General features: G+C 43.3%; 1 protein-coding gene across 7 annotated transcripts in view, besides 2 other annotated features; it reads left to right on the top strand.

Annotated features, from left to right (window-relative positions):
- SGMS1 (sphingomyelin synthase 1) overlaps positions 1-13,063 on the top strand; it is a 319,585-nt gene that overhangs the window by 2,763 nt on the left and 303,759 nt on the right. The window lies entirely within an intron of this gene.
- Positions 259-418: an enhancer, noted in NCBI's record as "active region_3365". NCBI's record gives its function as "activates an Ori minimal core promoter by ATAC-STARR-seq in GM12878 lymphoblastoid cells {active_cell/tissue: GM12878}" and the evidence as "EXISTENCE:reporter gene assay evidence [ECO:0000049][PMID:35858748]".
- Positions 7,616-7,745: a silencer, noted in NCBI's record as "silent region_2368". NCBI's record gives its function as "represses an Ori minimal core promoter by ATAC-STARR-seq in GM12878 lymphoblastoid cells {active_cell/tissue: GM12878}" and the evidence as "EXISTENCE:reporter gene assay evidence [ECO:0000049][PMID:35858748]".

Below are 13,063 nucleotides of genomic sequence, written 5' to 3'. Positions count from 1 at the left end.
TCCTGGCACTGGGGGTTGAAACATTCAGGGGGGACTGAGTGGGCCGAAGGAGAGGAGTGGGACTGGTGACGTAGGAACGCGATGGGTGTTGCCTAGAGCTGCCCAGATGGAAAGGGGTTGGCGGCTGTTTTGGCCTGTGCAGAAGGGGAGAGGGCGGGGCGTTTCATTGGTCGGGGTGTGAAACGTCCACGGGCGAAGGCTGCGGGGGATGGGTGCCTGTCTGGTCAGTGCTCCAAGGGAAGCCCAGGGATGTTTGGTGATTCAGCAGGTGGCAGCCTTCCAGCTCTGAAGACATGCCGTGGCCAAGCAAAGAAGCAAGCAAGCAAGCAAGCAGCAGCCTGTGCCTGCTGTCGGAGGCGCCAGCTTTGGGGGAACCTCCAGGTGCTGCCTTCTGCCTGTGGCAGCTCACTTGTCTTATCTTGCTTCCTGTTTAGCTCTGGAGGCCCTGGTATTTCGAGTTTCCTTACTGCGCCTCTTAAAATATACAGCAATATATAGCATGTTTTTGAGTCTCTGCATCTCTGTGACCTGCTGGGTAGCAGTGGGGTGGCTGCTGCCGCCATGCAGTTTTAAGTAGTTACTCTGCAGAAAGTGACAGTGATATGTAAAAACAGTGAAGTGGCCTTTCCTTCCATTTCTGCTTCACAGAATAGAAATTTATGTTTTTAGTAAAATAATAAGATACATTTCTGCAACTCTTCAGTGATGATAGTGAGCTATTTGAAATTTCCGGAAACTTTTTAATAAAAGACATTAACTCCAGAGATGTATTAAATTGACATCAGAGGGACACGGTTATTAAACCAGTATCTTACTCATTGGAAGATTTCTAGCATCTTGCACAGTGTCTAACTTGTATTCAATACATGCCTCTGCAGCTGAAATTTTAAAAATTCTTCATAACAGAAGAGTTTACCAGTATTTACCATGTTCATCATCTATTTTTAAGTCTGTATTAATATGGTTAGAGTAAAATATATGCATCAATACCTTTGCACATTGACATTTAAAGAATATTTATGTTTTCGTAAGACATGATTGCTGGGTTGACCATAAACATTCAATTTTAGCTTGAAAACTTGATTCTTTTACTTTTCTGGTTAAATTTATTAATTTTCAAACTTGGGGCAGATCCTACATTTCAGCTAGAGAAATGGTGTGCTTTGTTAACATACGTCATGAAAACCAAACGGACTCCTGACTCCTAAGTATAGCCATCAGTTTTTTTTTGTTTGTTTTTCTTTTGAGACAGGGTTTTATTCTGTCACCCAGGATGGAGTGCAGTGGTACAATCTCGGCTTACTGTAGCTTTGAACTCTCCAGGCTCAGGGGATTCTCTTACCTCAGCCTCCCGAGTAGCTGGGACTACACGCACGCACCACTAAGCCCAGCTACTTTTTTATAGAGATAGGGTTTTGTTATGTTGCCCAGGCTGGTCCCAAACTCCTGGGCTCAAGTAATCCTCTCACCTTGGCCTCTCAAAGTGCTGCGATTACAGGTGTGAGTCACTGCACCTAGCAGTATTATTATTATTATTTTTAACTAAAAAGTGCTCCTGTTGGATGTCAAATGCTTTAACTTAGAAAACTTCATTTTATACATAACATTTCAGGAAAACTCTGAAAAGTGCTGCTATAGAAAAGCTGAAAGAGTATTTTGGGAATAAAAATTCTGGATTGTTTGCACACAGGCATCAATGCCCTGGTCTTTAGGAGGGAGGCATGAGTGTGCTGCCAGTTCATTCTGCTCTTTACCATCACTGTCTGTTCCTTCCTCCAATTGTTTAGGTATTTCTTCTTCTCCTAAAGATGTACTTTCTTGGCATGAGCTTGCTTTTTAAAGCAATCCTGTCAGAAGAATCTGTTGCATTTTCTCACACAAATTTGATCAATGGTGATTTTTATTTTTTGATTGCCATATACACTTTCCCACCACTTCATATGGCAAACTATTCAGTGGCTCTTGTGTCCTTGTGGGGGCATAACATGTTATAGATGGCTATGCCTTTTTTGGATGGTAGCTATAGCCATAACAGTCTCTTCTGGAGGAACTTTTATGACATGCTGGTCTTCAAGATTTTTGGCTTTCCTATTAAAGGCTTTTGGTCAGGAATATAAATGGCTATTTCTCCTCTCTAAGAGCATCCCTGTAAAGGTTGTTACCTCCATTAAGCTACCCAGTCACAAGAGGACCTTATTTTGGATCAGCCCACTTGGATGTGGGAGTTGGGAGGCAGCATTGGATGTCAGGGAGGAGAGAGTGAAGAAAGGGAAAGAGAAGGGTGGGCGGAGCCCCAGGAAGGTAGCTTGGTTTTATAACTGACTTCTGGATTCAGTAAAGCTGCATTGAATGGTGCTGATGAATAAGTTTGGCTCAGGCCCTGCTGGAATGCTTTGCTGTTCTCCCAGTCCTCCATCTCCACAGATAAACACATCACACACAGATCCACAGACACAGAGACTCACACAGACAGCGAAGAGAAAGACACAGAGAAAGAGACACACACACTCTGCCAAAAGCCAAGAGCACCAGTGTCTTTTTAAACTAATATGTCAAAGGGAAAATCCAGGACTCAGTAGCAGGTTTGATTTTGGGGGCCTGAAATCACCCCAAGCTTGTATTGAGAAAGATTCCCCTCCACTCTCAGTGACAAGCTGATCTACTCCCTTAATGATGTAAAGCCACAAGGGCTTTAACTGAAGCAACCATTATACGTACAGACAGGTGAGTGGAGATTTAGATAATTTGGGTGATTTACCTTTTAGACTCCTGGTGCTGAGAGCTGAGCTCACATTCCAGTTCTTGGCACAGGATCCTCTCACTGTGCAAAAGCCCCTTGCTTGTTTTACGTTTTTCTCCTTCATTCCCCTCCCAGCACCCCCCAGGCCCCTCTCCCCCAGAGGAGCCTTCTTTCCAGTGCAGGATATGTTCTTGCATATGTATGTATTTTGTTAAAGATGTTGAGTTACTTTGTTTGTTTTTGATTTACATAAGTGGTTCTGTGCTATAGATTTCATTCTTTTTTTATTCAACATTAGAGCTTTTTATTATGGAAATTTGCAGGCATTCATAAAAGTCAGAAGAACCTTAACATTTTATTTGTGAGATCCTTGTTAGTGCAGGTTTATCTAGTGCGTTGCCTTGACTGCTGCTTTGTAGGGCTGGTCTTTTATGTGTCTCCTACTTTTACTTACCCATTTCCCTAATGATGGATGCTTAACTCACCTCCACTCCTGCTACCACTAGCAAACATCCTGTATGCATTTTCTTTCTTTTTTTTCTTTTTTTTGAGACAGAGTCTCGGTCTGTCGCCCAGGCAGGTGTGCAGTGGCATGATCTTGGCTCACTGCAGCCTCTGCCTCTTAGGCTCAAGAGACTCTCCTACCTCAGCCTCCTGAGTAGCTGGGTCTGTGTGCATTTTCTTAATGATCTGGTTGAGAATATCCCTAGGGTAGTGGTTCTTAAAGTATGGTCCACACCTGGCAGCATCGGCATCAACTCTGAACTGTTAGAAATACAGATTCTTGGGTCCTAACATTCCAGAATTCCTGAATCAGAAACCCTGAACTGTGTTTCAGCATGCCCAGGTTGGAGATTCTGATACATGGGAAAGTTTGAGAACCGCTGCTCTAAGGGTATGTACTTAGGAGTGGGATGGCTGAGTAATGGTGTACAAACATACCTGTTTTTACTAAACACTGCTAAATTACTCTCCAGAGTTGCTCAGCTGCTTTCTGTTCCACATCAGTGCACAAGGGTTCCTGATTCCCCACGTTCTTACTCAAATTTGTTATTAACCAACTTTCTAGTTTTACCAATGTTTGGTGGCTGTAAAGTGGGATCTCATTGGGTTTTCTTTTTGTGAACTTATATGATTTCTTAGTAAATTTGAACTCTTTTAATATATTCATTAGTGATTATAATTTCTTTGACTAGCCATACTTGCTTTTCCTAATGTGGTGATTTGAAGATTTTTTTGGTATATTCTAGATGTTAATCTCATCCTGTCTTCTGTTTATCAACTTTGTCAATGGTAACTTTGAGAAATTTTTAGTTTTGATATAGCCCCAGTCCATTAATTTTTGCCTTAGGTTGCACTTTAAGAGTATAAGATATTTTTCCTTACCCCAAGATTACAAAGATATTCTGTATTCTGTCAGCTTTCCAGTTTTACCTTTCACATTGAGGGCTTTATTCTATTTGAAGTTCATCTTCATATATGGGAAAACAAAGGAATCTCACATTATTTTTTTCCTTTCCATTCTGTGAGACAGTTTTCCTAAATCATCTATTAAACAGTGTATTCTTTCCTTCATATAGTTTTGTGGAGCCACTTTTATCATACCTCAGATTCCCACAGACACATATTAGTTTACTTTTTCAACTTTATTAAGAGTTATTAAGGCTGAGCGTGGTGGCTCAATGCCTGTAATGCCAGCACTTTGGGAGACTGAGGTGGGAGGATTGTTTGAGTCCAGGAGTTCAAGACCAGCCTGGGCAACATGGAGAGACCCTGTCTCTACAAAAAAAAAAAAAAAAATTAAGCCAGGGCCAGGTGCAGTGGCTCACACCTGTAATCCCAGCATTTTGGGAGGCTGAAGCAGGTGGATTGCTTGAGCCCAGGAATTCAAGAACAGAGAACAGCCTGGTCAAAACCCTGTCTGAACAAAAAATACAAAAATTAGCCTGGCTAATTGGTATAGTCCTAGCTACTCGGGAGACTGAGGTGGGAGGATTGCTTGAGCTCAGGAGGCGGAGTTTGCAGTGAGCCCAGATTGCACCACTGCACTCCATCCTGGGTGACAGAGTGAGACCCTGTCTCATAAATAAATAAATACATAAATAAAAATAAGAGTTGTAACTTATATAGGTAAACTAAATCCATTCAAAGTGTACAGCTTGATTACTTTTGACAGATGTACATACCTGTGAAACCATCACAGTGAAGATACAGAGCATTTCCATCACCCCAAAATTGCCCTTGGGCCCCTTTGTAATCCCTTTGTCCCCAGACTTAAGCAACCACTGATATGCTGTCACTGTAGTTTAGTTTGTGTTTTCTAGAATTTTATGTAAATGGACCATACAGTATAGTACCATTTTGTGTCTGGTTCCTTTCATTCAACATACTGATTTTTAAAAATCTTTTTAAATTATGATAAAATACACATAACATAAAATTTATCATTTAACCATTTTAAGTGTATAATTCAGTGGCATCAAGTACATTTACATTGTTGTCACCACTATGCATTTCCAGAACATTTTTTATCACCCCAAACTGAAACTGTCCCCATTACTTGCGACATACTGATACCAATCATCTGTCTGTTTTTATGCCCCCCCAATTTTTTTTATTATAGCATTGCAGTGTGTTTTATATGGCAGAATGAGCCCCTACTTTTCTTTATACTTTGACTTGGTTATTTGTGGATGTTTATACTTCCATATGCATTTTGGAATGCTTATTAAGTTCTCAACAAAGTTAGGAAAGTGTGATGGGCATTGCATTGAATATATAATATGATTTTTCTGTCTAATATTGTAAGATTTTCTGTCTTATTGTAATTCTGTCCGTGAACATGGTCATCATTTCATCTTTTTAAAAATGACTTTTTAATAGAGTTTCAAATTTTCTCTGTCATGATAACATTTTTTATAAAGGTTGCTTTGAGGATAATTTGAATCTTGGCACCTTAGTCTCCACATTAGAGGGAGGCTAATAGGTGTTTTGGGACAGATCTTTTAAAATCTTCCTTCATTTATCAGCCTGTAATGACATTGGTGAAATTACTCACCCCTGGTAGGCCCTGGTTCCTCTTTCCTCAAACTGGAATAACAACACCCCCCGCCGCTTAGGGAGGCTGCTGAAGGGTTTAAAAGATATTGTAGGAGATGCTTGGAATACAGATCTTGAAACAGAGTTGTTGCTTAGGTTATGTTGGTGGAATACCTCCCCTAATGCTGGTTTTAAATAGCATAAACTGTCTGGGTATGGTAGTTCACACCTGTAATCCCAACACTTTGGGAGGCCGAGGTGGGAGGATCACTTGAGCCCAGAAGTTTGAGGCCAGTCTGGGCAACACGGTGAGTCCCTGTCTCTACTAAATAAATAAATAAATAAATACATAAAATTAGCCAGTTGTGGTGGTGTGCACCTGTAGTCCCAGCTACTTGGGGCGGGGGGGCTGATGTGGGAGGCTTGTTCGAGCCTGGAGGTTGAGCCTGTGATGAGCTGTGACCATGCCACTGTACTCCAGCCTGAATGACAGAGCAAGACCCTGTTTCAAAAAATAAATAAAATAAATCTCATAAACTTAATACTTTTGTCTGTTTTTAAGGGTTGATAATAAAGAAGAGTCAGAAAAGCAAAGTGAATTAGCTAGCCAATAAATGTGTAACACTCTCTAAGACTACATTTGCAAGCCCATGTTTCTGCCTAGTTTTGTTGGGTTTCACAAAAAATATGGGTACTTCCAAAGAATTTTACAGTCGACTGGGGAAGAAAAGGCTAATGTGCAAGAAACAATTAGAGAACTCTATGTGACAGATGGTATATAATTAGAGGTGAAGTGGTGCAGTGCCAGGGGAGTTATGAGAGGAGAGAGATTCTGCTCTGTGAAGTTTTGATTTGGCTTGGGTGGAACTAGTTTAGGGAGGGGAGAAGGCGCTGGAGAAACCAAGTAGAATTATCATTTCTGTTGGGAGCCTTGAGGGCCCAGCATTGAATCCCATGACAGTGGATATTGTGCCCAAACATAAGTATCTCAAAATCAGTGCTGTGGGATTGGTGATAAATAGTTAGAAGATGCCTAGATAAGCAATAGCTCTCTGTCTTATAGTACAGTGGTGAAGAGCCCTGACCCTGGACCCTGGGTTTGGATCTCAGCCTCATCGTGTAGAAGCTGTGGGACCTTAGGCAGGTTATGCAAACCTTCTGCACCTCAGTTTCCCCAACTCTCTGGTAGGTGTCATAACAGCAGCCATCTTACAGGGTTATTGTGGGGACTATATTAACATTTATAAGGTACTGAATGCCTGGCATGGTAACCACAACATAAATGTTAGCTGTTATTATGACAACTTTTGTTAATATTCATCACCTTCCTCCTGTACCTCTCTTGAGGTGTGTGAGGCTTTATGCCCCAGAATTGGATGGCTTTTGTCCGGAAAGACCTGGTTGGAGGCTGTACAAATTTATAGAATGGCTTTTTCCACATGTCGGCAGGCATTCAGTGGGCGCTCAGGTTGCAGACTGAACAAGTAAATACTGAAAGACAGTGGAGCCAGGTGCATTCTCTGTCATTCCTGGATGTCCTCACTCAGGGCTCTGGAATTGAGTGGGGAGAAAAAGTCAGGTGGTAAGCATTCAGGAAGCGAATTTTATTTTGCTATATTCCTAGTTCTGATTAGACCTTTTGGCAGAGATGTCGGAATCACAGGGATTCACACTTGTTGATGGCTAACTGCATGCCAGCCACTTTCTAAGTCCTTGACCCAATGAAATGGATATTGTCATCATACCTTTTTTGAGGACAAAGAGAGTGGGACAGAAGTAATTTGCCCAAGAAAGTAGGAAAAAGAATGCCCTGGAGTTTAGTGTTTGGGGCCTTTGCCAGGTGGCAGAAATAACAGAAGTAGGTACTGTTGGTGGAGAGCCAGTACCTTTACATAAAGCGTTGTAATACACAGGTTAGCCCAGCAGGGCATTCCCATGACCTCAGATGTTTATCAGGTGAAGCCAGTGGCTCTCAGATTTCAGCGTGTATCAGAATCACTCGAAGGCTGCTTACAACGCCCAGGGCTGGGACCCACCTCTGCCAGAGTTTCTGAGGCAAAGAGCTTGGGGCAGGTGGCAGTGGGCAGTTGACATGTCTAATGTGTTCCTGGATACTGTCATGCTGCTGGTCTGGGGACCACTCTTTGCCAACCACTGCCATCAGCAGTGCCCATGTCAGCGAGGAGCCAGCTGCTACTACTTCTAGTTACAGTCAGGTGGGATGATTTCAGATTTAGACATTGGAAGTGCCTTCCGCCTCATGAAATAAAAACTGAACTCATGTGGTCCTGTTTATCTAGGACAGCAGAGGGGTGTCTGAGCCAGTCCAGAGCAGAAACTTGCTTTTCCTGCTCACCAGTGGTTCTGGCATGGCTCAGGAGAGATGATCCCAAGGTGGAGAGAAAACTTGGAAATATAAGTCAGCACTCATTAGAAGCTTGGAGTGCCATCATTACATCCCATCTTAGGAAGATGGCCTCATTTATTTTTGTTATTTTTCATTCCCCCTTCCATTGGCAAAAAAAAAAAAAGAAAGACTTCCTGTTCACCACTTATCCCCATGGAGGAATTTAGGCACAGACAAATTAAAAGTATATTGAGATACATAACCTGACAGTGGAGAGGCAGAAGATAATCTTATTTGCCTAGTTTAATTATAGCAGAAAACTGTGTTTGTAGGAAAAAAGAGCTTTGTACAGCTTTCCTCCAGCTGCCACGAGGTCACATAGCTACAATGTGTACCAAGCTTAGTACAGCACCTACACACATTAAGCTCTCAAGAAGTATGAATAGTTATTATTATAGCAGAAGTTTTCTGTCTTGCAATCCAGGCTACACTTTTTCCTATTTGAAAGAATGTTACATATATAAAACCTCGGGACGAAAACCTTTTATAATTTAAATATTTTGTAGGAACTCAGGATTTAGAAAGAACTCGGAGGTGAACAATACAAGTAAGTTGTATTTGGGAAGGAACACTGGTTTAGATTTTTCTCTGTGCTAGTTATCAGGACTCTCCTGTGACCCTGTCAGCCTGTAACAGCTCGTTTGCTTGGTGAGGGAATGTGGCAGGGCAGAGAGGATGGGGGGATTGCCAGGGGCCGACTGAAGAGGCTAGAGAGGCCTGTTCAGGTGTGGAGACACTCTCCAGTCTGGTCATTTTATAACTCAGGGTTGACAGTGGCAGTAAATATGTGTTGAAAATCCCCTATGGGCCAGTTTCCCTGGTGAGCTTTGAGATACAGAGATGAGTGCGATGGGGTCTGGGTCTTTGAGGGATTAGTGGGGAGACAGACATGTCCACAGATGATGTCATCACCAAGTAGTGAGTACAGTATCAAAGCTGCACACCTAGCCTCCCTGGGTCAGGGGTGGGATGACTGGACAGAGGTCACCTGCCCAGTTTCCCTGTGTCAGCAGAGTGCACAGAAGGGAATCCATACCATAGGTCAGTGTAGATGGAGCCAGAAGTGGCATTTTTTTGGTTTTTATTTTCTTTTGTTTTAGGGTTGAAAGCCACATGAGGTTTTCATTTTTAGTGACATAATCCTGACAGCAGAGACAAGCCTAGGAAGATGTGTGCTATAAGTGGTCAGCCCCCAAAGGGAGAATCAGAGCTGGGACTGCACTTCAAAACTACTTGGGGAGTTACAAGAGTACTTAAGAGTTTACTTTCTTTGTTTTTAAAAAACGTGGCTATGAGGTCAGGAATTCGAGATCAGCCTGGCCAGCATGGTGAAACCCCATCTCTACTAAAAATACAAGAATTAGCCTGGCATGGAGGCGCACGCCTGTAATCCTAGCTACTCAGGAGCCCGAGGCAGGAGAATTGCTTGAATCCACGAAGCAGAGGCTGCAGTGAGCCGCGATCACGCCACTGCACTCCAGCCTGGGCGACAGAGCGAGGCTCTGTCTCAGAACAACAACAACAACAACAAACAACAAAGTGGCTAAATGTTAGCTGTCTGCTAGGAATGTAAAACCTGGAGAAGATTAACGACTTTCTATCTTTAAGATAAATCAACTTTTAAAAGAAAGACTCTATTAAAAACAAAGTTTTATTTTATTTTCCCTGAATTTTTGGCTAAGTGTGAAATTCCCCTTTCATTTGTGTTTTCAGTGGTTCCAGTTCCTTGTTTTCTTTTTTCTCCCCTCCACTCCTCCTTTTCGCCAGCTGCTTATTATTCATTAACAAAAGAAGCTGATTTCAGCACTACCTTCCCCAGTCCTATTTAATTTCATGTCCAGACCACTTTATAGAAATAGCAATAAGCTGTTTGCATTTCCCAGGTTGTAATGGATATTCCTTCTGGCAGGCTGTCTCCATTAAGGGAGCAAAATGTGGATGTTCAGTCTTCTAAAAGTTTCATGCAGGTATTCTATGTGAATCCATGAAGACGGGATGTTATAACAAATCTCAGGTTAAGGGGTGGAGGATCCTCAGCTAAGCTTGGCAGGTGGAAGATGCTTAAATTTGGAAGGGAGTTCCCAATAGTCACAGATGGAGATGGAGGGATTGAAGAAAAAAGCCCTGGGGCAGGATGGTAGAGAACAAACCTCAAGAAAACTATCTCCTAAGGAAGTGGTGGGGAGGGCTAGCTGAAGTGGTACCCACCCCACTGGCAGGGGGCTGGGTGAAAGCAGCAGAGGCAGGAGAAATCAGGACTGGGAGGGAGATAGGGTGGGAAGGCAGGCTTTGCCCACAGCTTCTTTCCCCCTAACAGACACAGGCTGACAGTTTAGGCAGGAGTTGGAAAAGGGGATGGGGGGTGCCAGTGTGTCTGAGGCCAACAGAGAAGAGGAATGTTTTACTCCTGAGGAAACCAGGAGGGGAGAGGGAAGGGTGGAGGAAAGGCAGGGGGCAGCGGCAGGGATGAAGGTGCACAGGCAGGTGGAGGATGACTGGAGAGCAGAGATGCTTGGGATGCTGGAGAAAAGGCCATGGGACCAGAAGAGGATTGTGAAAGAAACAGTCTGTATAGAGGACCCACGGCCTTCAGCCCAAGTCAGGCTGTCCTGGTCATCTGAGACAGAGGCAGAGTAGGTGAGGGCAGTGAGGAAAGATGCTGCTGGCTGTCCAAGCACACTGGTGAGGTAGTAATGCAATTTCTGAGCCATTTGTAAGATGTCAGGACACCCAGGGTCTTCTAGATAACAGGAACTGGGAAGGCAAGGACCCAGGGGCCCTGATTTTGAAAGCCAGCTGAGGAGTGATGAAGAACAGTGGGCTTGGGTTTAAATCCTTTTGGGGCAGTGGCTTTCTCATGTGAAATGGGGATAATAACCACTCTGTCACAAGTGTCGTGGTGTGAAGACCCTTGGCGTGTGTCCACAGTAGTACAGGGTTGCATTCTGCAGTTGTTGAGGTGGCCTTGGGATGTGGCAGCAGAGGGTGACCCTGAGATTTCCTGTAAGAGAGAGTGCGTGTTGATTCCCTTTCCTCTCCTGGGTGGCGTGTTGACCATTCATTTGACTAGATGGACCATAAGTGAGATGGGCTATTGCACAGGCACTATCTGTACCCAGTTTTCTGGCCGTGTGTTGTCGAGATTTTCACCACGTGGACTGCATAGTCCCTTCCTCTGTGTTTCTACCTGATCTTATCCCAGAGCCTGTCCCTATTATTCCCCTGGCTATTAGTTCACTCTACACACCCCCAGACCCAAGTACACAGAATGTCCCCTGTATGCCATTGCTTTTTGTGGAAGCCTTTGTAGATGGCCTCCATCTCTAGCCTGAGCCTTCAGAATTGTGGAGACTGGCAGCTTTGACGTTGAACGAGGCCAGGATACAGGTGTGAACAAAGCAAAGTCTCAGCTCGTATGGAGTTTTCTTGGTAAGGGTCAGACCGACAATAATCAAATAAGCAAATATATAGCATGTCGGGTTGTCAGGAGGCAAAACCTCACCTGTGCCTCAGAATGTCTCTGCCACCTGTTCACAAGGTTGGTAATTTAACATTTGCTTTACTGCTGTGGTCCATGTAGTGACAACTAAGTTACTTTGAAAGGCTCTACAAAGTTCCAAGCAGTTGGCTGGGCAGTGTTCCAGGTTTCCATAGGGGCCTCAGCATGGCCGGCTTTCCCTCTCACTTTGATTTTAGAAACAGGCAGGATTGTGAGAACGCTCTCAGGAGTTTCTCAAGCCTCATTTTGCTCATTCGTTTCAAGGCCCTATGTGTGGCCCACAGGTTCTTATTGGGGGTCCCTGGATGGGTTTCCTGAAGCCACCATGTATTTAAGTGTATTTTGGGGGACAGTGCATCTAAAACTCTCATTAAATTCACCAGGAAGGTATTTAAAAGGCCCATTTTTTATGAAAGTGGATAAAAAGTGAAAATTATGCCATGGAAAGTTCCTTCATATTTCTATCTTTCTCTTTTTAGAGGAACTAATGGGAAGTGACTAGGTAAAAGGGGGTGAGGCAGACACACACTGACAGCCTTGTTGTAGTTCTGTGCGGCTTGACGTTTCTGTGTCTTACGGGTGGGATGGGAAACAAAATGATACCGCTGGCATCACTGGAAGACCATTTGACTTAGTGGAAGCAAAGGCGGGGAGGTGCGTATGATGCTACAATGTGTTTCTGTCTTCCACTGAGCAAGAAGAGGAGGTTGAGCCATTGGGAGGAGCACAGAGGCCCCTTGGAGCAGTTGCTGCTTCTCAGATTTCTGTGTCTGATGGGTACTGAAGATAGGTCTGGAGCTTTGGCTGCTGATGCCAAAGGCACCTGTTTTAGGAGATTGCTCTGCTTGAGAAGTCCATAGTAGCTTACCTAAATAGTAAAGTTCATGACTACTGCCTTCAAGATAAGGGTCTAGAGGGTAGCTTTGAAGAGTGAGACCGTAGATGCTCACACACTCTTTGACCCAGCAATTCTACTTTTAGGGGCTTATTTTAAGAAATAATCAAGGTCATTATTCATCCCAGAGCTCTTTATCATAGTGAAAAGTTGGAAATGTAATATTAAAATATAGGGGATTGGTTAAACAAATTATGTATATCCACACAATGGAATACTAGGTAACTGTTGAGAATAGTCATAAAGAAAGTTGTTCTGAAAGCATTGTTATGTGCAAAAAGGTATGTAATGCCTTTGTAAAAAAAAAAAAAAAAAAAAAACTATTGAGAAGGTACTGGTTGGGCCCTACTATGGGCCAGGTACCCTGTGGAGTACTGGTGACACAGTGATGAACTAGACAGATATGTCCTCAACAGGTCTTAGTCTACCAAGGCAAGAGTCAGGTCATACTGACTCTGTCATTAAAAAATTCTGTAAATAATC

This window comes from Homo sapiens, chromosome 10 (assembly GCF_000001405.40).
Source record: "Homo sapiens chromosome 10, GRCh38.p14 Primary Assembly".
In the NCBI taxonomy this organism is placed as follows: Eukaryota; Metazoa; Chordata; class Mammalia; order Primates; family Hominidae; genus Homo; species Homo sapiens.
This window is presented reverse-complemented; position numbering and strand designations above follow the sequence as displayed.